Genomic DNA, 27,133 nt, shown 5'->3' with positions numbered 1-27,133 from the left:
GGGGGGCTCTATGTCACCAAGCAGCCCTGGCCCTCAGTCCCAGCTCAGAGCCTGGGGTTTGAGAGAAGTCCAGGGCCCCCTCCTCGTGCCTAGGGGAGCTGGGGGCGGACAGCCATCACTGCCGGACAGGGCTGCAAGGGACCCCTCCCACTGTCCTGGGCTGCTTGACCTGGGAGAGAGGCTAAAGGTCACCCTGACCTTCGTATTTCAGGGAAACAGTGGCCTCCAAACCTTGGAGAAGCCAAGGGACCAGCTTCCCCAGTGAGGACACCAGAGCCTGGGATGCAAGAACCCCCATCCCAAAGTGGGGGCCCTAGGTCCCAGCACCCAGGTGCCCATTCAAAAAGGGGCCAGTAGCTGGGCACCTCACCTGTGGCAGGCCTGTCCCTTCCTGCAATCCGTGTCTTCTTACTTTTCCAGGGCCACCGTAACACACACACACAGACGGGACAGCTTAAACAGCAGAGATTGACTTTGCATGGTCCTGGGGGCTGGAAGGCCGAGATCCAGGTGTGGGCAGGGCTGGCCTCTCCTGGGGCCTCTCTCCTGGGCTGGCGGACAGCGTCTTCTCCCTGAGCCCTCACTGGTTCTTTCCTTCACCCGTCTGCATCCTCGTCTCCTTTCTTTATATGGGCCCCAGCCCTATTAGATCAGAGCCCACCCCAATGAGCTCGTTTTATCCGAATCATCTCTTTAAAGGCCCCATCCCAAAATACAGGCACATTCCGAGGTCCTGGGGGTGAGGACCCCAACATGGGAATTTAGGGGGACACAGTTCAGCCCCTAACGTATGTATCTCCCTCCACCCCCGTCACCGCCCCACATGGGCCTGCAAGGTTAAGCCGAAGGAACTCAGGCCCCAGCAGCTTCTCCTGCTGGCGGCCCCCTCGGCCACGCTTCTGACATCCTGGTGACCCCATGACCAGCTGCACCCCCTCAGCATTCAGAGTGGGGCACCTAGCAGCCAGTATGACTCATAATGCAGGTCCCCAAAACTACCTACAAGAAGTCTGGCCAGAGTGAAGTGAAGTCAGGGGGGCAAGAAGTCCAACCCTGAATTTCTCCTGCTTCCTCCTGGCTGCTGATGAGATCAAGGAAGCCTGGGTGATCTGTAGGAACCCGCAGTTGCTCCCTGCAGAAATGAAGGGTCCTGCCCAGCAAGCCCCCACTTCCCAACCACTGCTCCACTCCCCGCCCTTCCAGACAGCTCCCCAGGGATAGATGAGGGGAGCATTCTGTCAGCGAAAAGACTGTGCCCCGGCCAGGTACAGTGGCTCGTGCCTGTAATCTCAGCACTTTGGGAGGCTGAGGTGGGTGGATCACTTGAGTCCAGGAGTTCGAGACTAGCCTGGCCAACATGGCGAAACCCCATCTCTACTAAAAACACAAAAATTAGCCAGGCGTGGTGGTGGGCACCTGTAATCCCAGCTACTCGGGAGGCTGAGGCAGGAGAATCGCTTGAACCTGGGAGATGGAGGTTGCAGATCTCCGAGATCCATACACCATCGCACTCCAGCCTGGGCAACAAGAGCAAGATTCTGTCTCCAAAAAAGACTGTGCCCTGAGCTCCTCTCACCTCTAATCTGCCACCTGCCCTGCTGGGCACTGGGCACAGTGACCCCCACGCCAGCCCAATGAACCACCCTGAAGACCAAATAAGACTTGGCTAAGATATTCTTATGGAACAGCTTTGATAGCTGGAATTTACTGGAATTCACTTTCAGACTCACCACAGATATAGAGGAAAGGGTTTGGTGATGATGACCCAGACGTGCAGAAAAGAAAAAAAGCAAAGCAAAGCAAAACACCTGAGCCGCCCAGCCCTGCCCCCTCACCCCTGCCACGGAGTTGATGTCACATCTGTCCCCTCACCCCTGCCACGGAGTTGATGTCACATCAGCAAGGGGCTGCTCTTTGGGGCTCCTAGGGACTCCCCATGTGGCCATGGCCTACCAGAGACGAAGGCAGGAAGAGGGCGAGGCCCCTCTCAGCCCGGTCCAGACCCTAAGGCTGCCGCGCTGCCTCCCTCCGTCCCTCCCCCCAGGCTCTGGTTCCAGCCTCACTCCCTGGGAGGCCGGGCTCCACTGCTCCAGCAGATAAACGTGCCAGGGTTCATGGCCGCTGCTAGGCTGTCCAACACGCCTCCGTGGCTCTCTTTGGCCTGTCTGCCCTAAATAGAGCTGTGGGAGGAAGCGGAGGGGGGCTGCCCCAGGAAGGGTGGCCTGTCTCGAACCCCTCCCTCCAGCCCTGGGCCTGTCCCGGACCCTGCCAGGGTCTGCAGTGTCTCCGTGCCTGGGTGCAGGGGTCCCGGTGGGTGCTTTCCAGTGCCAGCAGCAGCCCTCCCACCCCCGTGATCACAGGCCCTCATACCCCGAGAGGGAAGGGACAGGTCCAGGCCAATGGCTGGTGGGGGGGGTGGGGGGGTGGGGAGGTGGGGCGGGTTGGGGAGGGGGGAGTCACCAGCCCCCCCTTTCCTTCCCCTCTAAGGAAAAAACCCCAGCACTCCCCGGTGACGAAGCTACTGTTGACTTTTCAGAGGTTAAAAGGAGCCTAAGGGGGCTTGGCCCAGGGTCAGGGCCGTGGAGAGCGTGGGAAGGAAGATATAGGGGAAAGTACAATCTGGGACTGGGAGGAACCCGGGGGCGGGGGGATGAAGGAAGAGGGGAGGCCAAGGAAGGAGAAGGGGACCACCGGGACTGTGCTGAGAGCAATGCCAGGTCACCCCACCCCCCTCCCAGCCCAAATCCTCCACCACATCCCCACCCCCCTCCCGCCCCGCCCACCCGAACAAGTCCAGAAACCCGCATCCCCCGTGGCTTTACCCTCCCACCTCATCAGCAGGTGCCCCCAGCAGTCCCGACTCCACCGCACCATCTCCACCATCCGGGGGTCTCTGGCGGGGCGCTGCCTGCCCTGCCTCCGCGTGGCTTTCCCGGTGAATAGCCTGAGCCGAGGTGTGTGTGCGAGAGGCTTAGGGGAGGGAAGCAGGATTGGACCCAGGGAGAATTTAAACCGCAGCATTGGTCGCAACTGCAACAGAGGCCCAGCCATCCCACGGAAAGCTCCCTCAGAGCTGGCCCAGCCAGAGGCCCAGGCCGGCCTCGCACCTGCAGGGAGGCGGGCGTTGGATGTGGGTGGCCCAGAGCGGGAGCACAGTGCTAGGAGAGGCAGCTCCCCTCAGCCCCACAAGCACCTGCCCCACAGGGAGATGGAGTGACACCACGGTATCGCCACGCCCCCCAGCCCCAGCATCCTCCAGCTTCTCATCCCACTCAAAACCCGGCCACCAGTGGAGCCTTTGGAACACACCCTTGTGCTGGACCTCCCTGCTCCGCAAGGCTGCCTGCGTGAGGAATGCCCACCCGCTGTGCTCACAGCTGGCGCCGAGGCCCAAACACTATCCTCTCCTTTCCTGTTTTCCAGGGGACAACTGCCCGCCCGCCTTCTGCACAGAACACCAGTTCCACAAAGGCGGGGACCCAAACTGCCCTGCCTACACGCACCTCAGCACCGAAATCAGGTCCTGGAAATGGGGAAACTGAGGCAGAGGCGGAGGGCAGAGTGCCCAGGCCCCTCCGGGAAGGTCCCTGGACACCAGTGGGTGGAGCTGTCCCGGCTGTTGGGGAAGAATATGTTTTCAATAGTCCCTCCTAAGGGTGGGGGACATGGCTGGGGACGAGGAAGGTTGCTCCAGCCCCAAGCGGCCCAGGGGCAGGCGGAGGAAGGGGAGGGAGAGGCGGCTTTGAAACCCTGCTGGTGCAACCGCAGCTTGATGAGGGCAGTGTTGTAGTTACACTTTTTTAATTAAGTGAATAATTAAAAAGAAGTTGATTATCAATTAGCTAATTAAATAATCCATTTTACTTTCATATTCCCGCTTTTCCCCTATTTTTTTCTTCCTTGTATTTTTCTCTCTTTTTTTTTTCCTTTTTTTTTTTTTTTTCTTTTTTGGTTAATCACTGTGGCCGCGGTAATGAGCCGCCTCGGGTTGCCAAGCAACCGGCTCCCAGTTAAACAGGCGCAGCTGCCTCCGTCAGCGCCCTGACGGCTGCGGGGGAGGGGCGGGTCCTCGGAAGCCCCTTCTGCGCGGCGCCCAATGACACCCTTGGCAGACACGCCCGGTGGTGGGGGATCCGGGGTGGTCCACGCCCTCCACGCGCTCCAGGTCCTGAGGGTCCGGGGGGTGCGGCCCGCCTTCCGCCTTCCCGCCCCTCTGACCCCATCCGAGCTGCCTTACGCGCATCGGTGCTGCGGGCCTCAGTTTCCCGCTGCTGGGGCTGGGATCCCGCGGCCGCAAGGACCGGCTGAGAGCTGGGGGGCGCTGTGCTGGGGGCGGGAGGGAGGCGGCCCTGAGGACTGCGCGCCCCCCACACCGGGGCCCGGGCGGGACACACGCCCAACGGGACCCCTGAGCCCCCAGGCTGGGGACCGGCAGGGGCTCCGGGGAGGCTGGTGAGGCCAGGACGGAGCCGCCCCCACGCGTAGCCGTGAAGCGGGAGGTACGCGGCCCCCTGGAGCTGCCCCGACTGCAGCCGAGGGCGCGACCTGTGGTGCCAACCGCCTGACCCTGCTTGGCCGCCGCCGCCTGCGGGTCTCCAGCAGGTCCCACCCCACGCGCCCGCGGGGCCCGCTCCAGAGGCTCCTCCAAGGCCGCTGCAGAGGCGCGGCCAGGCTCCCATTTCTGCGCATCCCTGGCGCTCAGACACGGCCTGAGCCGGGTACCCGGCGACTCCCTTCGGCCTCCACCGCCTCCTGGGGAGGGACCGCGCGCTGCTCCCACGCGGGCCCGGGGGTCTCCGCAGCCCTGGCCTGGGTGCGTCCGTCGGGCTGCTCGGCTCGGAGCACCCCCCGCCCCGCCGCCCCACCAGCGCCTCTCCGGAGCGCTCACCCCGCCCCCGACTCGTGTTGTTGTTGCGTGGGTTTTTTCTCTAATTCTCCGGAGTTACTCTTTTGTTGCCAATTGTTTCTATGCCCGGAGGCCACGCTGTAAATGAGATGTTACATCTGCACCGAGCTAAGTAAACACTTTATAAATGAATAAATAAGTGAATAAATAACGAAATCGTCATCTCGGGGCGGCCCGGCTGCCAGGGCTCCGGCCGCCGGCCTGCGGGGGTCTGTGTGGTCCCGGGCCCTGCCCTGGGGTCGGGGAGGCGCCGGGAGGGGCCGTTTCCCAGCCGTGTCCCTACCCTGACCCCATCTTCCTTCCTCTCCCAAATCATCCTCCAGACTCTGGGCGTTTGGTCCCCAGATGTCGTGTGGGATTCGTGGCTTCCACCCACCGCTTCTCAAACAAAAACGGGTTGTCACCGCGGCTCTTAACCCTGGGCGAGCCACGGAGCGTTTCTTCCCGGGATCGGGATCGGGCCGCGGCTCGAACCGGCATCTGCAGAAGGAAGACCCGGCCCTGTAGGCCGCCGCCGCCCCAGGACCGGACTGGTGGCCTCTCCACGTCGTGTCCGGACCCGACACATCGCCTCCAACGGGAAAAAAGGGGAGCAGCGGAGCCTCCGCCTCCCAGCCCGGCCTCTGCCCGCCCTGCCCGGCGCTGGAGGCACCAGGCCGGCCCAATTCCGAGAGGCTGAACTTCGCAATTATCACGGATAACAAGAACAAATGAAAAAGCACTCATTGAGTAACTGATATCAATTATGAAGCCCAGCTTTAGAGTCTGGAATAAATGATAGGGGAATTGGCCTGAGAGAGAAGGAAGCAGGCGTGTTATTATTTACGCCAGATTAAGAAAAGTATCCAATTTGCTGGCCATCTCCCTCCCCGTGGGAATTGGCATCAATTTTATTATTGTTCTTCCGATTTTAATATTCTCTAAATGAATTACTATTGAGCGAGGTAGTTAGTCAATAGTTTAATGCAATTAATTATCTTTAAATCACTTTGTTATATTTCCTTTTTTTGAGAGACAGAGAGTCCTAACTCTAAACTCTAGTAAGCAGTAGTTTACGGGAAAGTGGAGAGAGTGGGTATTTGCAGGGCCGGGGCCTGGGGAACCTGGGTAGGGTCAGTGGTGAGGGTTCTCCCTGTCCTGGTCTCAGATCTCCTGATCAGAGCAGGCGTGAACTATGGACACTGTAGGGAGACCTTCCACCGTGGGTTTAGCCAGCTGCAGCCAGGAGGCTGAGAAGGTACTGAAGGCAGCTGGGAACGCTGCCGCACGGGCACCGCCAGCCGCAGTCTGGGCCTGTTTTGTCTTTAGTTTAAGTGGAAAAATTAAATTCACAGATCATGCCCCTTGGCTGTTTCTTTTCTGGTCCCTCTGGGGCTCCTCCCTGGCCATGCCTGGGTGAGACAGAGGCTTGCTCCTGGGTGTGGCCCTCTAAACTGCCCAGCGGCCCTTCCTGGCTGCACCCGGTTTCTCCACCTTCAAGGATGGAGGAAGCATGGACGCAGGGAAGGACTTGGAAGAAAGACTGTGTTAGGAGGGGCACTGGGGAGTCTGATAGTATTTCCAAGTTACTGTATGCTAGCTTCTTTCTTGTCTGTGGGGATAAGCAGAAGCCTCATCTCTCCCACATGTACCCCGGTAGCCCCCACTCCAGACTAAGGGGGATTCCACAGGCCTCCCAGCACCTGAGCTGGGGAGCCCAGGCCCGGGGCTGCAGGACCAGGATGGAACCACCAGCTAAGTTTCCAAGAAGCCTGACTGATCTCTCCAGGACTTGGGGACTGGAGGCCCTGGCGTTTCAGGGAGGTGCTGAAAGGTGCTTCCATTGGTCCCAGCTGCCTGTTCTCAATAGTCTACTGCTCTGGTTAGAAGCAAGAGGGGACAGTGATCTCAGCTCCAACCAAGGGCCTCCAATTTTCCACAACAATAGTAACAACAACGACAACAAAAAGTCTTCTGTTTTTTCCCATTCTGTTTTTTCCCAGGCCCGACTGCAGCACTGGAAACAAAGTTGTCCCCCATGAGGTCTGAGGATGGAACATTTGCTAAGAGGGACAAGATGGGAGGGAAGGGAGGACGGGAAGACAAACTTTTTTTTTTCCTATCAGCTCAGAGTAACTGTTCTCCCAAACATTAGGACGCCAAGGGGGGCCGTGGGGGATGGGCAGGGGATGGGCAGGTCCTGCTGGTAGACGGATGATAGATAACAGATAACCTTGTAGACAGTCACTCGCCTAGGCCAGACTTTGAGCCCAGGGTAATAGAGTGCTAATGGCACAAGGGCCAGCGGTTGCAAAGTGCCGTGCGTGGTGTCTGGTCCCATCTAAGACCCATTCACAGAGTGTGCAGGTGTCTGTGTGAGTGCGGGTGGGTGCAGGGGTGCCAGTGTGTGGCCCAGACACCCCCAGGCCTCTCTGGAATGCCAAGACAATCCCTGAAAATTTTCTTCTTCCTCCCACTGAGCCACCCATCAGCCCCCAAAAGAAATGCTGGAGCTTCTCACCATTCAGCGAAAATTGAATTCCCCCGAAATAGCTCCGAGGACAGGACCTGGTATTTCATAGTGTTTTAAAAGTAATATTCCTTTTGTTGGTGCCGTGAAATAGGGCACCAGGAACACTGCAAGAAATAAAAAGAGTAATTTCTCAGTGGAGAAGTTGCCTGTTTCCAATTCAGGCCCCCGATCGCTGGAACCTGGGTGCTGGATGCTTCGCTCTGAAGGCAGCGGCTGGGTGCTCACGGGCCGGGAGGCCCGCCCCTCCCAACTCACACATCTGGAATTGGCATCAGGGGCGCTGCGGGCTCCGGAAGTTCTCACACTTCACGACTCATTAAACCGGAGTTTGGATTCCTCGGGAAAGGGGATGAGGGTGCGAGTTACGCTGGGGGGCTGGGTTTGGGATGGCAGCAGTGGGCCCGGAAGGAGGGGTCGGGGACACGATCTCTGGGGAGTCCCCCTCCCCCAGGGCTTGGGAACACTCTCAGAGCCCACTTCTATGGTGCAGGCCTGGTAGCGTGTCGGCTGGGGTCGGAGGTGGCCTGACGTGACTTAGAAAGGGAAGAAACACCTTTCGATCCCGGAAAGCCCCTGTGTCCCTCTGGGGGGGTGCCCTGGGGGATTGAGTCCCTCCTGGACCAGGTGAACAGAGCCGGAGACGTGGGGGCATCTTATGCAATCACTCTGGCTTCATAGACAGACTTTGCTGGGGCCAAGGGAAGGGAGGGGGCCAGTGCCCGCCCCCGCCGCCAGGAGAGGTCCCAGGGGCTGCCAGCCCCACCCTCCCTGGTGGGTCTTTCTGGCGAGGTCTCCCGGGGCGGGGGCCGCCCAACCTCTCCTCCACACACTCTCATTTGATGGTTACTGATACTGCCTTAATGTCTGAAGGGGATAATACTTGGGAGCTTAAAATTACAATTGCTTCTACTTAAATTTATTTGATGGCCGGAGCGTTTCCGTTATATATCCGTATATGGGTTTTCAATATCTTAAATGTTTAAAAAGGTTTTATTCTGTACTTACACTGAGTGAAATTAAAAAGAAACAGTAAAATGTTTGAAAATGAAGTGCATTATGTTTAATAAATTTAAAATGAACAAAGACTGCTATATCGCCAGCAATATCATTCCCTGCCCAGGGGCATTAATAAAGACTGGAGGTTTGGAAAAACAATATTTTCTATTAAAATTCTGCGCTGTGTTTCAATATTAAAAGGATATGTGATGAATTTCCAGTGTTACCCAGACGGGGTCAGAGATTAATTTCATTTCTTTCTGGTCAGCATTCTGTCGATAATTAATCAAAAGCAGAGTTTCTTAATGAAACACTTTTCATAAAGTGATAATTAGCAGGAAAGAGGCGGCTCGCAGACAGTCCTCGCGAGCTGTCTAATAACCGGTGAGGCGCGGGGCTGGTTCCTGGGGGCCGTGGCCGGGGGCCGCGGGGACAGGAGCTCCCCAGGGAAGGGGCTGAGCTTGGGGAGTTGGAGCCCTCGCCCGGCCGAGCCCTGAGCTGGGCGGCTCTGCAGACCGGCCCCGGGACTCTTATTATCAGGCCGCAGAAAGAATCAGCAGAAGCCGGCGCGCGAGGGCCCGGCCGGGCCACCCCCTCCCCTGCCCAGTAAGGCCTCTGGGACGCTGTGTGATCTTAGGCAAGTCCCTTCCCCTCTCTGGGCCTCTGCGCGCCCTCCTACTGCAGGAACGCCTGCAAGCAGAAACCCTCTGGCCTCCGGCGCGGAGACACTGGTCCTGGTCCTAGCCAGCTGCCCTCCCCGCGGAATCCCGGGGGGACCCACCGGCACCCGTGGCCCCAGGCCGAGCTCTCGCTCACCCCGCGGCTTCTCTGTGTGCCCGGAGGCCAGCGCCACGCGGAGCCCGCGGCCAGTGGCTGGGAAGCCTGGGAGGTCGCGCTCAGGGAGGGGAAGCGAGGAGGGAGCGGGGAGGAGGAGGCGGGAGGCGTCCGCAGGCTGGGGGGGGGGTGGTTATTAGTGCATTATAAAATTACTAAAAATAAGTGGAAAACAATTAAGGGGTTCAAGAGTAAATAAAGTTAATGGAACAAAATTAGCAGCAATTAGCGGCAACGCCCGCGCTCGCTCCCCGCAGCCCGAGTGTGGTTTGGAGCCTGGGGCCTCCGGGCTGCGAACAAAGGCCTCCCGCCGGTCCCGTCAGGCGCAGCCTGTGGGGGCCGGGCCCAGCGTCTCGGCCGGGGCGGGCGAGCTGGACCACCGGCCGCCCGCACCCCCCACAAGCCGGGAGCTCCCTAATCCCGGGCGGAGCGGCAGGTGCCGGCTCCACCGCAGGTCCGGCCTTGCCCGCGCTGCTCGGGAAACGCTGCAAACTTTCCGATAACGCGGAGAGGCGGGGGGTTCTGTGCAGATGAGATTATCGATAGTTATTGAAAGTCCCCAAATAGGATTTACAAAGCAGGCTCCTGCGCCTTTAATAGAATTCTAGATAATCTTTTATCACAACAAGACACCCATATAGAATTATTTAAACAGATTGGACGGCGGCAGCAGCAAATTTCAATTATTCTAATGCTTTAATAAATGTGGTGCGTGTGTATTAAATTCAAGCTTCTTAATCCAAATTTTACGATGTAACTGCACTGATTTTTCATTTCTGCAACACCCACACGCGGCAATGGCCCGCTCCTCTCTCGGGGAGGGTGATCCCAGCTCGGAAAAGCCGAGAGGGGCGCGCGGAGTCGGGCGGCCGAGAGGAAAGGGAGTCACGGCTGGGCGAGGGGCGCCGGGCGCGGGGAGACCCCGGAAAGGCAAGGAGAGAGCGGCCGGGAGGAAGGGAGGACGCCCAGCGGGGCCCAGAGAGCCGCAGACTGGCCAGCCCCGCGCCCCGCTCCTCCCAGCTCGGGGTTTCTGTCCCCACGCGCCCCCTCCATACTCACGCCAGCTCTGCCCGGCCCGGTGGTTCCCCGCGCGGGGGGTTCCGTCCGGGCCCCCTCTGGGCGGCGCCCCGGGCAGAGGGGCCCACGAGGAAGGGTCTCGGGGTGCGGGCAGCCCTCGGCCACAGCCCCGGCTCCTCGTGGCCACCGTGTCCGGGGTGCGCCAGGGAGCCGCTGGGCCCCACCAAGGCCTCCCTTCGGGCCGCCCCTTCCCTCCAGTCCCTCCACCGCTAAGTGAGATAAACAGAACCAAGCGCCCAATATGCGGCCCCGCGTCCACCTCCACGCCCACCCCGGCCGCCCCCGAGGCTGACCCACCCCCGCCCCGGAGTCGCAGCGGCGGGCAGGGTTCCGGGCCGGGACATCGGCGCCGGGAGCCACGCGCGCCTCCTCCACGCAGCGACGCCTGAGACCTGGGAAGGGCGGAGAGGGCCCGGGATCGGGGCCCAAGTCCGCTTCCGGGAAACTGAGGCCCGGTGCTGGAGCCCGGATTTCTCTGGGCCCTGGCGGGGAGGAAGGAACGGGCAATGCTGGGCGGGGAGCTCCCTGGCTTTAGAAGAAAGGGAAGGAGTAGCGAGGGCGAGGCTCCCCTCCTGGCCCTGGCTCTCATCCCAAACTCGCCGTTTTCACTCCTTGCGCGCCCCCTCCCCATCCTCGGCCCGCGGGGCAGGGGCTGACCCGGCTGAGCAGTGAATTGGGCTCGGTCCAGAGGCGTCGATCTCTCATAATCTTTGTTTAATGTTGCATTTCTAAGCTCCGTATTAAGCAGCGGTATGGGCGGCTGGATATTTAGTTGTATATAATTTACACCCTGATCCTGAATCGATCCGACACCTCCGGATGGAGTCTCTCTCATTTTTCACGCTCCTTCCGAGGTGCCGAAATAATACCCTCTCATTAGGAGACTGCGAGGCCTGGCTAATTTATCCAAACTGTCAGGGGCTTGTACAACCTCGGGTTAAAAATAAATCAGCAAAGAAACAACACCCTTCTCTCCTCACTCCCCACTCCCCACAGCCCCCGCCCCGTCCCCACCCCCAACGAACCGATTTATCAACAAAATTAAACCAGTCTGCATCTAACCGATTGACTAGCAAACAGCAGTGTTCAGAAGCTTGGTGTTGTGGCCAAGGCGCCCGCCAGGGCCTGGCCATTTATTAGACAACCTGGGCCCGTGAAGCAATCAAACCCGACAGCCCAGGGGGACCTCCTGCCCCGCACTCCTAGACCCTGGCCAGCCCAGGGGGACCTCCTGCCCCGCACTCCTAGACCCTGGCCGCGTTGTGGAGGAGGCCCCTGCTCCCCGCCCAGAGGCACCACCTAGCAGAGAAGAGCAGCCGCCTAGAACAGCCAGGAACCCCTACCTAGCGAAGCAGGGGGCCGCGTCCTCCACTCCCACCCTCTCCTGGCATCGGACGCGGAGGGAGCCGCAGTGGAAGGCCGCCCTCACCGCGGCCTCGGTTCCTAACCCGTTCTGGGACCAAATGACCCAAGAACAACCACAGTGGTTCCCATTGCCCAGGAGGCCTCGCTATATCCCTCTGCTGCCCCCCTACCGACCCCTATTTATTCCCCTCTGCCACCCCAAAACGACAGCACCCCACACCCAAGCATGGGGGGGAAATCCTTTTTTTTTTTCTTTTGCAAAATTAAAAAATCATTAGGTGACTCGGGGTGGTTGATTCAGAAGAGCTCGCCTTGCAAATGAAGCTCTTGAAATTACGTCGATAATTAATTGTGCAAATTTGTTTCTATTAAATAAAAATAACACGTACTGAAGAACTCAATTAGCATTAATTAAGCTTGATATCCTAATTTGGAAGTTGTGTAATAGAAAACAAGCGTTTTGGAGGGTGTTTTTTCCTCTCTCCCCCTCCTCCTCTCCCTCTCCCGGCCTCTCTCCTGCTCCCCCTCTCTCTGCCTCTCCTCCTCGGCTGGAGAGAGGAGCGGCTGTAGCCTTTGGGCTGCTTCTCTCTCCTTGGAGAATTGGAGATGAGAAATGGAGATGGGGAATCAGGAGGCGCTAAATTAACTGCCTGATCTGCACTTATTGGTGCATACACATCCCCCCATTACGGGGCCTTTCTGCAGCTCGGCTCTTAATATTCTAGGCATGGCGAGCCGTCTAGATAGCAGATTTATCAAATGGGAAAATGAATGTATGATGATCAGTTAAATTGAAAATCAGCGCCTGCATGACAGCTCGACCTGACACCTCCGTAATTAGAAAGAAAAATGATGGCGTCGGATGCATAATAGAGCAAAAACAATTTACACTCTCCCATAATGATCCGGCGTTCAAATTGAAAATTTCTCCTGGTAGAAATTGAATTCATAAAGTATGATTCATGAAGGATACATCTCCTGGAGGCTGGCTCGACCAGATCGATTGATAGTTTGTCTAGAATCACACAGCCTGCTGCTTTTGGGCTTTCAGAAAAAAAAGCTAAACTGTTTAAGTAAATCAGTAATTTCACCTTAAGGACACGGGTGTGCAGCCAGCGATACTCCAGCATTCAAACTGCAAATCCATTAAACATGAGGCCTCCCCCCAACTCGGTGCAGCCGCCACCGAAATGAACAGCTGCAAATTGAAGGAAGGAGGCGATTTATCGCTGCCAGACAAATTGTTCACCTTAGATAAAATAACCGGCATTTTACGCACAATTTTCTGCCACAATTTCATAATTTAAATGACACTTTAAATACAGTTTAATGGGGGTGGGAGTGGGGGCGGGAGAAGGAAGAGTTGACCGCAGAGGCCAGACGGGACCGGCCGGAGACAAAGGGTTGGAGGCCGCGCTGCTGGGACGCGGCCCTGGCCGGCCTGTGGGGAGGCCCAGGCTGCAGGACCCCAGGAAGCAGGGGTAGGGGCAGAGGGCCAGGCTCTGCGGCCGAGCTCCTGCGACCTCCATGGGAACCCCGCGTCCCCTCCCCGACAACTCCTGGCTTCCACTGGGGGCGGCCTGTCCCAGAGTTGGGCAACCAGCGCAGAGGTCTCCTTCCCGTGGATCCCGCCCCCTCCCCTGCTCTTCCTTCCCCCTCTCACTTTTCTTTTGATCTAATTATTTTTCCTATAAGCTCGGTCTCCTAGAGAGCAAATATCAGAGTCACTGAGCGAAAATTATGTAAATATTATTAAAGGGACTCGGGCTCCGAAATTCATTTGCGCCCGCGCGAGGAGGAAAGCTGTCCTTCAGATTATTTTCAATTTATTTGCAAATAAAGGCCTGATGACCAGGAGGGATCAGGGATATTTAACGAGGCTGTAAACATAATTCCACTGTGCTCAGCCTCGTTGGAATTAATGGTTTTAATAATTGGGATCCCAATTTCTCGGGGAATTGGTGGCTTTTGCGGCAACGAGGACCCAGGGCCCAGGAAAATTGAGGCCAGTGGGTTGGGGTTTTTGGGGGGGTGGGGGGAGATGGAGGACGGGTGGCGGTTCACTTTGGGATGGGGCGGCTGCGGGCAGGGGCGGGGGCGCGGGGCTGGCTGCAGGCTCCAGCCAAGTTTGCTAATATTTCTTCGCTGCAGATGTCCTGAAGTCCCCGAAGGGTCCCCTGGGGACCCGGACCCTATTAGAACAAATGTGCACGGCTTTTGTAAAGAGTCGCGTTGGCGGCGCCTGTCCTATTACAGGCGACACATGATCAATAGGCTGATAACGCAGCAACATCAATATAAGCGACAGAACAATGAGGGATATCATTGGGCATCTATCTTAATATAGCCGGCTACAAGAGCGCTGACAAAGAGTGCAGCTCATGAAAATTCCGCCCCACGATTCCCCATCTCCGCTCCAATATGCGCACGCACTCCCCCAGCTGCCGGCGCTATTATTCTCCAATTTCAATTTGACACCCCAGCCTTTCATGCTAATTCTATTATTGTAGGAAGTTTATGTGATTCCATATCACTAGAAATCGGTAATGTATAATAACCCTTTGGGCAAGAAACCCAGTCCCCGCAGCAGCCACCGGAAAATAATTACTTTCATATCAAAACTCTGCAGGAGCCCAGCGGCCCGGCCCTCGCAGCCCCCGGCTCCGTCACCCCGCGCCGCGCGCCCCGGCGTGTGCCAGTGCGCGCGGGGGCGCGCGGCGGATGTGAGCGTGCGTGTGCGGCGCGGGGTAGGAGGGGGAGCGCCGGGGCGGGCGGGGACCGGGAGCCGCAGATGCATAAATGTGTTGAATCAGAAAACACAGACACACACGCACACAAAAGGACGCATTAAGCGCAGACCCCCGGGAAGTGCGGGGCCCCCTCCGGGCCCCACCCGCGGAGAGAGGCGTGGAAAGGTGGGAAGGGCGGCGGGGCTGGGCGCTTGGCAAATTTAAAAAGATGGACCTGAAAACTTGCGTTTGACCAGCTTTATTTATCAAAAATGGTACATATATAAATATTCTTAGACATTTTTGCATTTTACAAGGCTGAGGATTCTCGTTGTGGGGTTTTTTGGGGGCCATGGGTCCTTTTTGCTCTCTTGGGAGGAGGAGGGTCTCACCCCCAGTCCTGTGGTTGCTGCCTGGGTCCGAATTCATACAGCACTTTCGTTTACTCTTAAAAAAAATAATAAAAGAAAGAAAACAAAAGAAAAGAAGGGAAAGCAGTGTTTCTAGAGCCGATCACCTGATTCGTTGCGTGAGTCGGAGCCTGAGCGAGCGGCCGCGGGCCGGCTACGCGCCTCTCCCGGCCGCCGCGGCCTCAGTCCATGTCCAGCTCCTCGCCCTCCGGCGGGCTGGGTCCGGCCGCCGCGCCAGGCTCGGGAACCCCGCAGGTGGCCGGCTCCTCGGCGGGGCTGGGAGGCCGAGGGCCGGGCCTGGGCGACGGCGCGGGCGGCGGGGGCGCGGGGCCGGCGGTCCCCGCGTCCGCGCAGTCCCCGCCGCCGCCCTCGGTAGCCGCTGCCGAGGCGAGGTCCCGGAAAGGCGCCGGGGCCGGGGCTGGGGCCCCCGGGGAGGCGACGGCGTCGGGGCTGCGACGCGCGAAGGCCGAGTCCGGGGCGCCGCCGGGCCCCGAGAAGGCCCCGAAACTGGCCTGGGCAGGCGGCGCGGGCGGCACGGCGGGCGCGGGCGGCGCGTCCTTGGGCGCCGGCTCCAGGCCCGCGCCGCCCTTGAGCGCGGCCTGCGGCACCAGGAAGCCGAGCGGCTGCGTGATGGGGTAGAGGAGGAAGTGGCCCTTGCCGATCAGGGTCCGCGGCGCGCACGGCAGCCCGGGCGCGAAGTCCAGCCCCGCGGCGGCGGCGGCGGCGGCGTTGGAAGCGGCTTTCCGGCGCGGCGGCGAGTCGGACAGGAGGCTCTCCACGCTGAATGGGCTGGCCTTGGGCAGCCCCGCGGCGCCGCGCTCCACCGCCGCCACAGCGGCCCCTGGCCCGCACGAGGCCGCGTCCTTGTCCGCAGGGCGACCTGGGCGCGGCTGTGGGCCGGCGCCGCTTCTTTGGCTCGGGTAGAAGGCGGGGTCGCAGGTGCCGGGTGCAGGCGGCTCGCCGGGAGGGGCGGGCGCGGTCCCCGCGGCGCCCGAGGCGTGCGCTCCGGGGCCCTTGGCGGCGGGCGGCGGCGGCTCGGGCGGCTCCGGAGACAGGCCGCCGCCGCCGCTGTCGCTGTCGGAGCTGGGCGCGCTGTGCAGGGACAGGCCGCCGGGCGAGTGCAAGTGGCGGCCCTGGCTCTTCAGCAGCTTCTTCTCGTGCTTGCGCTTCTTCTTCTCCATCTTCTCCAGCTCCTTGCGCGCGATCTCCTCCGGGTCCATGGGCTCGCCGCTGCACGTGGTCGGGTGCGAGTTGTGCGCCGGCCGCCCCGGGCCCTTTTTCGTGTTCTCCTTCTTCCTCCACTTGGCCCGGCGGTTTTGGAACCAGACCTAGAGCAGCCGGATAGGGGAGAGGAAGCCACAATCAGGCGGCGGGCTGGCCGCCGGGGCCGAGGACCTCCCCGCTCCCCCCAGAGGGGCCTGCACAACCTCCGCTCGGCCGGGGCAGGAGTGAAGCCGCGCGGCCGAGCGGGCCCTGAGCTGGGCTTTGCCACTGGAGCTGCAGGTTCCAGCGAGCGCCTTTTCCACCCGGAAGGCGCGTAGACGGGGCCTCTCGGCCAGCTTCCCGCTCTGGCTTCTCACCTCGGGGACCTGGGAGCCGCCCCTTACTTGGGGGGCCGGTCTGGCCCCGGACGGAGAGCGTCGGGTTCCTGGTCCGGAGGCTAGAGAGCAAGGCCCCTGTTCACCCTTCCTGGCCGCTCACGGCTCGTGTTCTAAGCAGCCCGCCCGGCCTGGCGCTGACCATCCTGCCGTTGGACCGCTGAGCCACAGCCGCCCTCCACACCTGTCTTCGGCCCCTTGGAGACTGTGTCAAAGCCCACATTTCGGGGGTGGGGGCGGAATCCCTTGAAGGGAAATATGGGTGCTTCTCGTCCGGAAGGGCCTGGGGAGCCGTACTTGGGTGGGCCTCTGCAGCCTCCCTCCCAGGGCACAGCTAACACAGCCTTCTTTCCGCAAACCCTGGGCCAGGGCGCCAACGGAGCCTTCCCAAACCTGCGGTCCTTGGCCTGGGCCACCGGCCAAGGCAGGTGGGGAGGCAAGAGGCGACCACCAGGCCGGAAGGAGAGGCTGGGCCCATCGCGTCTCTTCCATCCTCTCTGCAGTCCTTGTCCTGGGGAGCCACACAGGACATCCGGGGACGGCAGCGCTACACCCTCACTCAACCGCCAGCCACCAAACACACACAGTCAAATCCGTCTGAGCCCCGCGGAAGCTCGGGCAGTCCTGCCCTCCCCAGGAGGGCGCGTTAATACGGATTCTTTGTCGCGGCCACACAGAGACTTGCACAATAGCAGGCCCAGCCTTGTCGCAGGGAGCCTTGTCCATGGGGAGGTCTCCAGCATGAAGCCGAGCCCTCCCCCAACGCTGTAACCGCCTTTTCCTTCTTTAAACTTTTTTTTTTTTTTTTTTTGGTGCGAATTCCGGACTGCCTTGCCTGTAAGAATTAGTCATTATCGTATTAGGGGAGACATGGAGGGGTCTTGACTTCACTTAAGACACTTAGAACAAATTGGATGAAAGGATTTCCAAGCAGAAGAGGTCATGAGAGGAGGTCCAAGCGCAGGACAAACACACCTTTTTAGACAAAGCTATTGGTGATAAACAGGCGTTTTGCCAGCGTCTGCCTCAACGCCTAGCACCCACAACCGCACACCGCACCACAGACCTGGACCCCACACCGCACCCACCGCAGAAAAAGAGGATTTCTTTGCTCCAGGGAAACATTTAATTATGCACAAATCATCTTGGAATTTTTAATCCACCAAGCTGACACTGTATTTTTAAAACAATACCATCAGCCATCTCCAAATGATAGCAAATTTACGGGAAAACAGTCGTAAGAAAAAGATGAGACCGGGGTTATTATTAAAAATTCAGACACCTTTTTTTCTCCCACTTTCTCAATGTGTTAACTGTTTAAGCTTCTGCCTCCCCTTCCTCAGCTGTTCCCTTCTGCAAAGCGATGAATAAATACATGTTTCCATCTGAATATTTTGCAGGCGCAAGGTAAACAGACTCGTTCGCTCCAGGCTGGGTGACAGAGCCTCGCGCGGAAGGTTGAGGCGGTGCGGGGGCGGGGGGGGGTCCCCTTCCCTCTCTCCTCCGGGTCGGAGCCAAGCCGGCCCCTCCTCCCCTCCTCGCCCCTGCCTGGAGACCTCACTTGGCCCGGCCTCCGCCAACCCACCACGCCGCTTCCCGGTTCGGACGCAGCCGCTGTTCTGGTGACTCGGGTGCTGCCGCCGGCCCTTCTCAAGCCGCCCAGGCTTTTGGGGGGCAGTTACCCACCCCGCTGTCCGTGAGGGGCCGAGCCCCAGAACCCCCACCCCTCCACTCTTCCCCAGCAGGCGAGCGCGAAGCGGGCCCGCGGCAAGGGGACGATATCTCGCCACCTGGAACAAAGGCGTCCCGGCGCGCCCAGAGCCTGGGGTCCGGATGGCAGATCCGGGAGCGACGCCGGGTCTTTACCTGAACTCGGGACTCGACCAGGTCTAGGCGCAGCGCCAGCGCCTCGCGCATGAACACGTCGGGATAGTGGCTCTCGTTGAACGCCTTCTCCAGCTCCTCCAGCTGCCAGCCGGTGAAGTTGGTGCGGGTGCGCCGCCGCTTGCAGCCCGGGCTCTCCTTGTCCGGGTCCCCCGAGTCTGCGGGCAGTCACAGGACGCAGCGCGGCTCAGCCACCGGCCCAGGCCCGACCCCCACCCCTCCCTCCCGCTACCCGCTGGCCGCCTGGATCCGGGGGGGGGGGCGCAGAGACGGCCGCCTAGGAGCCGGCTCTCCTTCGCCAGCCCCGGGCCCCCCAGCGCCTCGGCCGGACCAGGGCCCCCGCCCCCAGCCGCACTCCTCCCCGCCCTCCCGCCCGCCGCGCCTACCTGACAGCTTGAAGGGCTGGCCGTCCCCGCCGACCCCGCAGGCGGCTGGCAGCAGCGGCGTGGGGTTGACCACCGAGGCGGCGGCGGCGCACGAGCCCCCGAGCAGGCCGTCGATGGAGAAGGGCACCGAGGCGGCGGCGGCGGCCGACTGCAGCTGGTGCCCGGCCAGCTCGTACACGTGGTGGTGGCCCAGCGGGTAGGGGAAGCCCACCACGCCGCCCAGCGAGCCCCCGAACTGGGCATGCGGGTGTTCCAGGAGGCGGCCGTCCATCATCTCGCGCGGGGGGCCGGCGGGGCCGGTGGCGGGGCGCGGGGGCGCGGGCCGGGGCCGGGGCGGGCCAGCGGCGGGAGGCGCGGGCGGCGGCGGCGGAGACAGGGACCCGGAGCCCCACACATGCTTCGCCCGCACTCCGGCGCTTTACTTATCAACATCAAGCTCCCGATAATTAGCCGCGGCCCGGGGAATTTGGGACCAATAAGAAGCGCTAATCGGCTCTGACGTCAGAGGCGTGCTGGGTGCAGGGAAACGTTTTCCATATCGATTGCTAATTATACCTGACATGCACCTCAATAAACAGTATCAGGAACTGTCACAACAAGACGGGCTGGGGGCGGGGGGAGCCGGAGGGAGGGAGGGAGGGAGGGAGGGGCCGCCCAGGGCCGGGCAGGCGCGGGCTGGTGCCTGGGCCCGGGGCAGGGGCCCCCAGCTAGCCCCCCACTTCACTCGGGGCCGGCCCCGAGCCCGCGCCTCCCGCCAGCCGCCGCCTCCCCGCCCCTCCGCAAATCACTAATAGATTTCCCTTTAAAACATTCAGCGCCGTGTTGTGGGGATTTTTCACCAGAAATGCTGTACTCTCTGAACCTTTAAAGTGATGTTGCTCCAATTACAGAGAGACATTGAGCGGCAAATAGACTGATCCAATAATAGGAGATTCATCATCCGCTTTTCCGAAACTGTCACATTGAATTTAAAACTACAAGGCTTCTCATCTCCTCCTCTCCGGCTGCAGGCGGCGGGAGAGGAGGAAGGAGGAGGAGGAGGAGGAGGAGGGCGATCCCGAAAGAGAAGAACTACAGAATGTAGCACCCTGTCAATAAAGAGGCGTAACTAATGCCCTCTCTGATTGACTGGCAGTCGCCCTATCTACAAAGACAGAGGTGGGGGGGGCTGCGGAGGCTCCCCGACCCCCATCCCCATAAAGCCCGGGCGCAGAGGAGGAGAGAGGGATGGGGACAGGAGGGGAAAAGTAACTTTGGGGTGGGGCCGATCCGCCCCCACCCCCTTACACGCTCGAATAAAGATAAATACATCCGCTCTGACTCGGCCTCTGAAGGATGGGGCTGAAGCACCCAACCCATTTATTATAATTAAATTATGTTCTCAGAGAAGTGTCACTCCCTTCTCTGCTATAAAATATTGATAGACTCAAAGCTAAATCACTAAAGGATATATTCTTAAATAAGCAGCAAATCAGGATTGTGGGCAGCAAGGAAAGAAATGAGGGGATGTCGGTCCATCTCTCTCCTTTGTAAAAAAGTTTGTCAGTGGGGTGGTCGCATTTGGCTGCGGGACCCCAGTGCTGGACTAGTTGGGTTAGGGCCACCTCTCCAGCAGTGAGTGCCCCGAGCCTCGGCCAGCCCAGGGCGGGGAAGAGAGGAGGAGAGCTCCGGCCTGGGCTGGGCCAGTCTGCGGAGCCACCACCACCCCAGGGCAAAGTGACAGACCAGTTGGCTTTGGGTGTAAGTAAGTGACTTGGGCCAGGCCTCCAAGCCCTAGCCCGCGTGAGAGGGAAGGGCAGGCCGGGACCGTGCGCATCTCTGCGTCCCTCCGGGTCAGGTGCCCGTGCCTGGGCCGGGGAGGGTGGGGGGTGCCGGAAACGCTCAGGAGGGGAATGCTTGGGTTGGCGGGCGCAAGGCCACCCCGTCCTGCCACACGACTGCCTGTCCCTGCGACTGGACCCACAGTCTGGCCCTGTTCCTAACTGAAGGTCGTGGACGGGCCGATCCACGCTGACTCCGACTTCAATGACCCTCTTGTCTCTCCTTGCGGGAGAGGAGGGGACGGCGCAGGGTTGAGGACCAGGCCCAGCCAATCCAGGAGACCGAGAGGCGGCCTGGAATTTGGGGAGCCCCCTCCCTGTTTCCAGTCTCACTAGGAAAACGCTGCGAGTATTCATTCCGAGGTCAGAGGCCAAGAGCACTACTTTTCGCCATAATTTAATTTCTGTCTCTATAAATACTAAATGTAAACTCCGTCCATCCGACTCGATTTCGCCAGCAGCCACAAGCGCCTGGTCTTCTGTTGGGTTCGCGAGGAGGAATGCGCGCGGCGCGTGTTTCTGAATACAGAGCTGTAATCTATTCGGCCCGGGGGGAGGGCAGAGGAGGGGCGCGCGCCGGCCGAGCTCCCTCGCCCATCTCTCTTTATTATAATGAATTAATTCGACTTTATTTATCCCATTTTCTGGAGCTGACAGAATGTTAATTTGAGTTGAAATTTCGCTCGCCTCTCACTCTCTGACCCCTGGCCTTCAGATTGGCGTGTTGTAATAACCCGAATCTTTCAACAGAGGCCCTGATAATTGTTACCTTATTAGCATGCAAATTGTTTAATTAATATTATTATGAAGAAGCATACAATCCGTCCGTCACTTGACCTCAAGAGCGAGTCCGCGCCGCGGCGGCTCCGTGCGTCCCAATGCTCGCATTTCAATCGCCCTGTGTTTTTCATGCTGTCGGGCCGGCTCGCGCTCCGAAAACCTCCTCGAGTGTTTGAGAGGGGCCTTTAATGACGGTGGGGGCGGCCGGGACGACCCCCGCCCGGCTCGAGAGCTCTTCAGAGGCCCTCGGCTGCGGCGGCGCCGCGGGGAGTCGCTCGGCTTCTGCTCTCGGCCCCCACCCCCCCACCCCGCCCCCCATTTTCAACATCAAAATTTCATAATCGCCTCCTTGTCAGTTGCTGCCGCTGGAGCGGTCGCTTTAAAGGGTCCCCCCGCCCCCTCCCCCTCCCCCGCGCCCTTCCCCGCGCCCCTCCCCCACGCCCTCCCCCGCGCCCTCCCCCGCCCCTCCCCCGCCCCCGCCCCCTCCCTCGCGGGCCCTGTTCCTCCAAACAACTGCATGGGAAGCAGCCCTCGACACGCGGTCCTGGGAGACGCTGCATTTAAATCCCTTTTTCTACAGCCGAGTGACATTGTCAGATGCTAGCTTTAATTAACTTGATAATAAGACGCACACGACTCGCATTCAGGACGCCGCTCGCCTCGCCGTGTTCCTCGGCTCCCCCCCACCCACCCGCCGCCCCCGCAGCCGCCGCTACTTTGATTCGGGGTGGGGGGTCTCAGCGCTGCCGGACGCGCCCCGGCCCGGTCCAGCCCGCGGTCCAGGGGGACGGGGGTCGCGGGGCCGCATCCTAAACCCCCCCTCATCCTCCGCGCCCGCCTCGGCTCGGGGCTGCGGCCGGCCGGGAACCTCCTCGCCCCGAGCGCACAGGGCTGGGGCCCCGGGCCCGACGGCCGCGCGAGACAAAGGGCCCAGGCGCGCGCGCCCGGCCCAGCCGGAGACCTCCGGGGCCCGCCTTCCGCCTGCCCCTTCCCCCGCCCGGGCCGCGGCCTCTGGCAGCTCCAGGCCGCTCGGCCCTTCCCTTCCCGGGCGCACCGTGAGGACCGGCCTCCTGCGCTTGGGCCCAGCTGGGGGCCCGGAGTCCGGGTCCGGGTCGGGGGCGGCCGGAGCGCCTCCCCCTCTGGCCCGCCAGCCCCGGGGCCGTCTAAGCAGGTGTCTGCAGCCATCTCCCCATCCAGATAAAACTAATAAAATCGCCCATCCAACACTGATGTCAATATTACTTTAAATTACACAAAATCAAATTTATTTTTAATTAGCAAATTAATAGGCGGCAGTTGAGGGTTTTAATTACTCAATTAACTTCACGCAAGTTAATTTTTAACTATCTAAATTAACTTGCGCATTACTCGATTTGCTGATAATTACAGAATTAAATCTAAATTAATTGTTGGAGGTGATTTGATCCGCTGCTGAACTGGATGAGATTCCAATTAACCAGCAAAGAGATTTTGTTGATGTTTTCAACAACTGGAACCTTTGATTTGATTTTATGAGGAAACTACTTTTCAAAACGTCCCTCTGATCCTCGGAAAATTGTATCCTTCTTAATCCGGACAATTAAAACTTCCCTCCATAATTATCTATAATTGTAATTCTGTCAAAGCAAAAGGGGGAGTAGAGAAGGAGGTGGGGGGGGCAGGGACGTGAAGGCGATTGATTTTGAGTTTTAATTCACTTCATTTCTGATAGAAAGAAAAAAGTAATTCGCTTCAAATTACCTCGTTCAATCCTGACACCCTAATGCCCTTCAAAAATCTTTTTCTCTTGCATTAAAAAACCCTGAATCTGAAATGAGTGTGCCTTTTTAATAATAATAACCAAACTTCCATCAGAATAATAATTTCATTTCAATTAAAACTGACTTATCACCTTTGCTAAAACGTGCTTAATATGCCGAAAATTATCAATGCTTGAAGGAGCCCAAATCAGGAGTCTAATTGTAATCAGGAAATCGGAGGTGCTTGTCGACTCGGTGCCAGAGCAGAGAGGCAGTTCGGAAATGGAACTAATTTACTCTACTCCCCCGGGAAATCCGCTCAACAGATTAACATTTTCAAAATATAGTAATGATATAATTTGAGAAATGGTGACGCCAATTTGTGAGAAGCTCTTTGTGCGGAGCCATTTGCATTTTCGCTGCCTGCATTTTCTGTTAATCACAGCTCCATTTGATGGGGGTTTGCAATTTGACTTATTCCTTATTATAAAACTTCAATTTAGTAATTTAACACAATGAGAGAGAAAATGTAACCAAATCTTCAGATAACCCCCATTTCATTTCTGCAACACCTTCAGAGTGCTGAGAGGGAGAGGGAGACGGGAGATTTGAATTGGAAATCAGCTTCATTTCTCTGCTGGTAAAAACAGTTTTAGAATTCTTCATTGAGGGGCAGGAGGCAACCCATAGGCCTGAAGATTTTAATCCAAATTTTATAACTTTTTTCAGGCACAAAAAAACCTCCAACATGTCACCCAATACAAAGAGACAAGAGAAAGCTTTTTTATTACGCCCCCCACACACCCCCGTTTCTGAAGACGTCTTGCTCCCGACTGATTCCTTGTTTCACGCCCCTGCACTCCCCAGAGCTCCCTCCTGCAGAGTTCTCTCTCTCCTGCACTTCCCACCGCTCGCCTTTCCACTCCTCCGGGAGTTGCTGCAGCCTTCTCTCCCGGGGCAGGCCAGGAAGGGCCCCTCTCCCATTTCCACCCCAGGCTGCCTCCCCACGCCTGCCACTTCCCTCCCCTCCCTCGCCCCAGTCTCCATCTTCCTCTTTCTCAACTTTCCCCTTCTCCTAACTCATCCCCTGATTTAATCACCCATGGATTTGTTTCAGAGGCTGCTTCTAATTTGCTGTGCTTTATTTGAAAGTGCGATGAAAGTAATAAGGAGGTTAATATTTTATCAACAATAAAATTTTAGCTCCAGTGTTTGCCTTGTATTTTATAAACTCAATCTGCGCCGCGTTACCCTCCTGTGAGCCATTTGTAACCGCCTCGCCTCCCCACTAGACGGCCAGAGCCCAAGTCCCCTTGGGCCAAGTTCCCCGGCCGGGATCCAGGTGGCTTCTTTCACCCACGCCACCAAGATGGTAGCCCCAGGCCTCCAGGTGGGGTGCAGGCCAAAGCGGGTCCCACGGACCCAGGCTGAGGTGGGGGTACAGGTCTCCCAGGGCGGGGAGGCAGGCAGGGGCCTGAGGGATGTGGCCGGCTTTGTGTTTGCGGTGGGGCCTTGCCAGCTCAGAGGGACCGGAGCCTCCCAGCTACTCAGCTGGGGTCCAGTGGCAGAATGTGGCCAGGAGGAGAAGGGGCTGCCCGGCGGGGGGCCTTCCTCTGTTGTTTTAAGCGGAGCTGGCCTTCGCGCTAGCTCCTCTGAAGTCTGTGGCCATGGACACCGGCCTGGGTCTCAGTGGGAGCCCGTGAAGGTGGTTCAGGGGGATGTTCTGAGCCTCCGCTAGCCCTTCCCAGGCCCTGCCTGACTTTGTTGGGGAGGTTGGCCTAAAAGCTCCTAGGCCCTAGGCCTCCAGTCCTCTTGCACTAGGGAAGAAACCTAGACCAGCAGACAGCTGAGGACCCCACTGACGGTCCCCACAGCTGCAGGGTCTCCTCCCCACACCTCTCGGAGGGTACCAGAATCCAGGGAGCAGCTATATGGTGGTGCCAGCCCACAGTGTGAGAAGGTGTGAAGGTCCGTTGGGCCCAGGCCAGCCATTCGCCCCCAGGCTGGGCCCCAGCACCAGGGCTAGGGCTGGAGGCCGGAGGGCACAGGAAAAGTCGCTCAGGCTGTGACAAGCAGAGGGCTGGCGGGACAGGCAGTGGCCAGGCACTGAGAGCCCCATCTGTGGAAGTCTGGGGCGGCCACCTCATTGTGCCAGCCCACCAGGCAGCAGTCAGCGTCCCTCCTCCCAACATCCCCCTTCGCCGGAGGACAGCCCGTGGACACTTTCCCCGACACCCCAGGCCCCTCTCCCTCTGCCTCAGAGGTCCAGGGGATCTGCAGTCCTGGTCACCGGTGCCCTATTGGTGCCCCCAGGCCAGGGGCAGCTCCGCCCTTGGAGTCTGGGGAGCTGGAAGACTGCGAAGGGTTAACACTCTTTGTTATGGCTCCTTTTAATCCTCAGATGGGCCGGCGGCTCACGTTGTTCAGATCTGGTAGAGAGAAAGCGTTAACTATTATCTGCTTCTAGCTGACCATCTGCTGTTGCAGAAAATTCAAAACCCTGGAGATCTACTTATATCCACATCGTAAACGAGAAAAGATGTTTTAATTAAGGGAAATCAGGTTAACTTAGCTCTAATTTACAAGCCGCCTGCCTAATGAATTGTCTGGGCTGCTCTCTCTTTGTAGAGAGTAAATCTAGGATCCTTTCCCTCCGCAGTTCAGACACTAATTAACTAACCAAGAGTTTTAGTAGCACATCCGCCTGTCGTCTAATAGTTTTACCTAAAGCCAGCCCGGTCATTGCTCGTACAAATTGCCAATTAAATGTGATTGATATAATGAAATTGGATTGTATTTTTCACTCACCTTCTCCCTTCCCCTTCCTCCTGTATGTTCTGACCCTCTCTGCCCAGGGCCCAGGCGCCAGACCGCGCGCACCAAGAACAACAAAGCCAAACAGAACCGGCCCGGCCCGGGCCACGCGGGCTGCAGCGGCGCCGGCGCCGGAGCCGTGCAAGTTCCTGTTAAACCCACATTTCTATTAGTTGAAGTTAACAGGCGTAATCTTGTTTCCAGATATTTATCCACGTTCGGAGGGCCGTAGTTACATGTTTGAAGTTAGGGGGGAAAAGTGAAGGATCTGAGCTGCCATTCTAAAAATACATTAACAGTTTCCAAAATCTATATCGCTGCTTAATTAAATCTGTTATCCTGTTTGTAGGATCTGTGGCTAATTATTTAGAGTCATTTAATCTACTCAATTTGCACGTTAATTAAACAGCATCGGTTTGCAGAGCGCGGCCGGGCGGGCTCGGAGGGGCGCAGCGCCGCCTGGTGGGGATCCAGCCTGGACAGCGCGCTCGGGGCCGGAGCCGCGCGCACCGGGCCTGGATCCCGGGGTCCCGGGGCCAGAGTCCCCAGAGGGTGAGCGGCCCCGATGGTGGAGGCCGGGAGAGGGGCTGCGCGGCTTCCAGGAAACGCTCTCAGGTCATCCCGCAGGGAGACACGGGGTGGCTACGGTCAGCCGCCAGGACGCAGCTCTTGTTATTTACGGGCAGGGGGATTCATTCATTCATTCACCCATTCATTCACTCATTCACTCACTCACTCATCCATCCCTCCCTCCCTCCCTCCCTCTCCCCTGCCCCTCCTTCTGCCGCCACTCCAGGCACCGGGACGCAGCTCTTCTGTAATTTACTGTCAAGGGGATTCATTCATTCATCCATCCATTCATTCATTCATTCACTCATTCACTCATCCATCCCTCCCTCTCCCCTGCCCCTCCTTCTGCCCCCACCCCGGGCACCGGGACGCAGCTCTTCTGTTATTTACGGGCAGGGGGATTCATTCATTCATCCATTCATTCACTCACTCACTCACTCACTCATCCATCCATCCACCCCTCCCTCTCCCCTGCCCCTCCTTCCGCTCCAACCCCGGGCACCGGGACGCAGCTCTTCTGTTATTTATGGGCAGGGGGATTCATCCATTCATTCATTCATTCATTCACTCATTCACTCACTCACTCACTCACTCACTCACTCATCCATCCATCCCTCCCTCCCTCTCCCCTGCCCCTCCTTCCGCTCCAACCCCCGGCACCGGGACGCAGCTCTTCTGTTATTTACGGGCAGGGGGATTCATTCATTCATTCA

General features: G+C 58.8%; 1 protein-coding gene across 1 annotated transcript, besides 5 other annotated features; it reads right to left on the bottom strand.

Annotated features, from left to right (window-relative positions):
- Positions 2,675-3,220: an enhancer, noted in NCBI's record as "H3K27ac-H3K4me1 hESC enhancer chr7:1288405-1288950 (GRCh37/hg19 assembly coordinates)". NCBI's record gives its function as "activates a minimal SCP1, AML or CMV promoter by ChIP-STARR-seq in naive H9 embryonic stem cells {active_cell/tissue: H9 hESC(naive)}" and the evidence as "EXISTENCE:reporter gene assay evidence [ECO:0000049][PMID:30033119]".
- Positions 9,437-10,335: an enhancer, noted in NCBI's record as "H3K27ac-H3K4me1 hESC enhancer chr7:1281290-1282188 (GRCh37/hg19 assembly coordinates)". NCBI's record gives its function as "activates a minimal SCP1, AML or CMV promoter by ChIP-STARR-seq in naive H9 embryonic stem cells {active_cell/tissue: H9 hESC(naive)}" and the evidence as "EXISTENCE:reporter gene assay evidence [ECO:0000049][PMID:30033119]".
- On the bottom strand, positions 14,663-19,117 carry UNCX (UNC homeobox). The gene is made up of 3 exons (NM_001080461.3): positions 18,698-19,117; positions 18,294-18,469; positions 14,663-16,157 (listed from the first exon to the last, which is right to left on the bottom strand). Exons 1-3 carry the CDS (start codon positions 18,969-18,971, stop codon positions 15,012-15,014), a joined length of 1,596 nt encoding a protein of 531 aa, NP_001073930.1. The 5' UTR covers positions 18,972-19,117; the 3' UTR covers positions 14,663-15,011.
- Positions 16,567-17,395: an enhancer, noted in NCBI's record as "H3K27ac-H3K4me1 hESC enhancer chr7:1274230-1275058 (GRCh37/hg19 assembly coordinates)". NCBI's record gives its function as "activates a minimal SCP1, AML or CMV promoter by ChIP-STARR-seq in naive H9 embryonic stem cells {active_cell/tissue: H9 hESC(naive)}" and the evidence as "EXISTENCE:reporter gene assay evidence [ECO:0000049][PMID:30033119]".
- Positions 17,568-18,112: an enhancer, noted in NCBI's record as "H3K27ac-H3K4me1 hESC enhancer chr7:1273513-1274057 (GRCh37/hg19 assembly coordinates)". NCBI's record gives its function as "activates a minimal SCP1, AML or CMV promoter by ChIP-STARR-seq in naive H9 embryonic stem cells {active_cell/tissue: H9 hESC(naive)}" and the evidence as "EXISTENCE:reporter gene assay evidence [ECO:0000049][PMID:30033119]".
- Positions 25,307-26,471: an enhancer, noted in NCBI's record as "VISTA enhancer hs293". NCBI's record gives its function as "enhancer in: midbrain (mesencephalon)[8/10] | forebrain[8/10] | branchial arch[3/10]" and the evidence as "EXISTENCE:transgenic organism evidence [ECO:0001131][PMID:17130149]".

This window comes from Homo sapiens, chromosome 7 (genome assembly GCF_000001405.40).
Source record: "Homo sapiens chromosome 7, GRCh38.p14 Primary Assembly".
Classification (NCBI taxonomy): Eukaryota; Metazoa; Chordata; class Mammalia; order Primates; family Hominidae; genus Homo; species Homo sapiens.
This window is presented reverse-complemented; position numbering and strand designations above follow the sequence as displayed.

Bases quoted from the DNA above. Each gene is read 5' to 3' on its own strand.
- UNCX (NM_001080461.3), bottom strand. From the start codon at position 18,971: ATGATGGACGGCCGCCTCCTGGAACACCCGCATGCCCAGTTCGGGGGC. The intron at 18,470-18,697 runs GTAGGCGCGGCG...GACTGCCCGCAG, and splicing joins CCAGCCCTTCAAGCTGTCAG to ACTCGGGGGACCCGGACAAG. The intron at 16,158-18,293 runs GTAAAGACCCGG...CGGCTGCTCTAG, and splicing joins TGGTCGAGTCCCGAGTTCAG to GTCTGGTTCCAAAACCGCCG.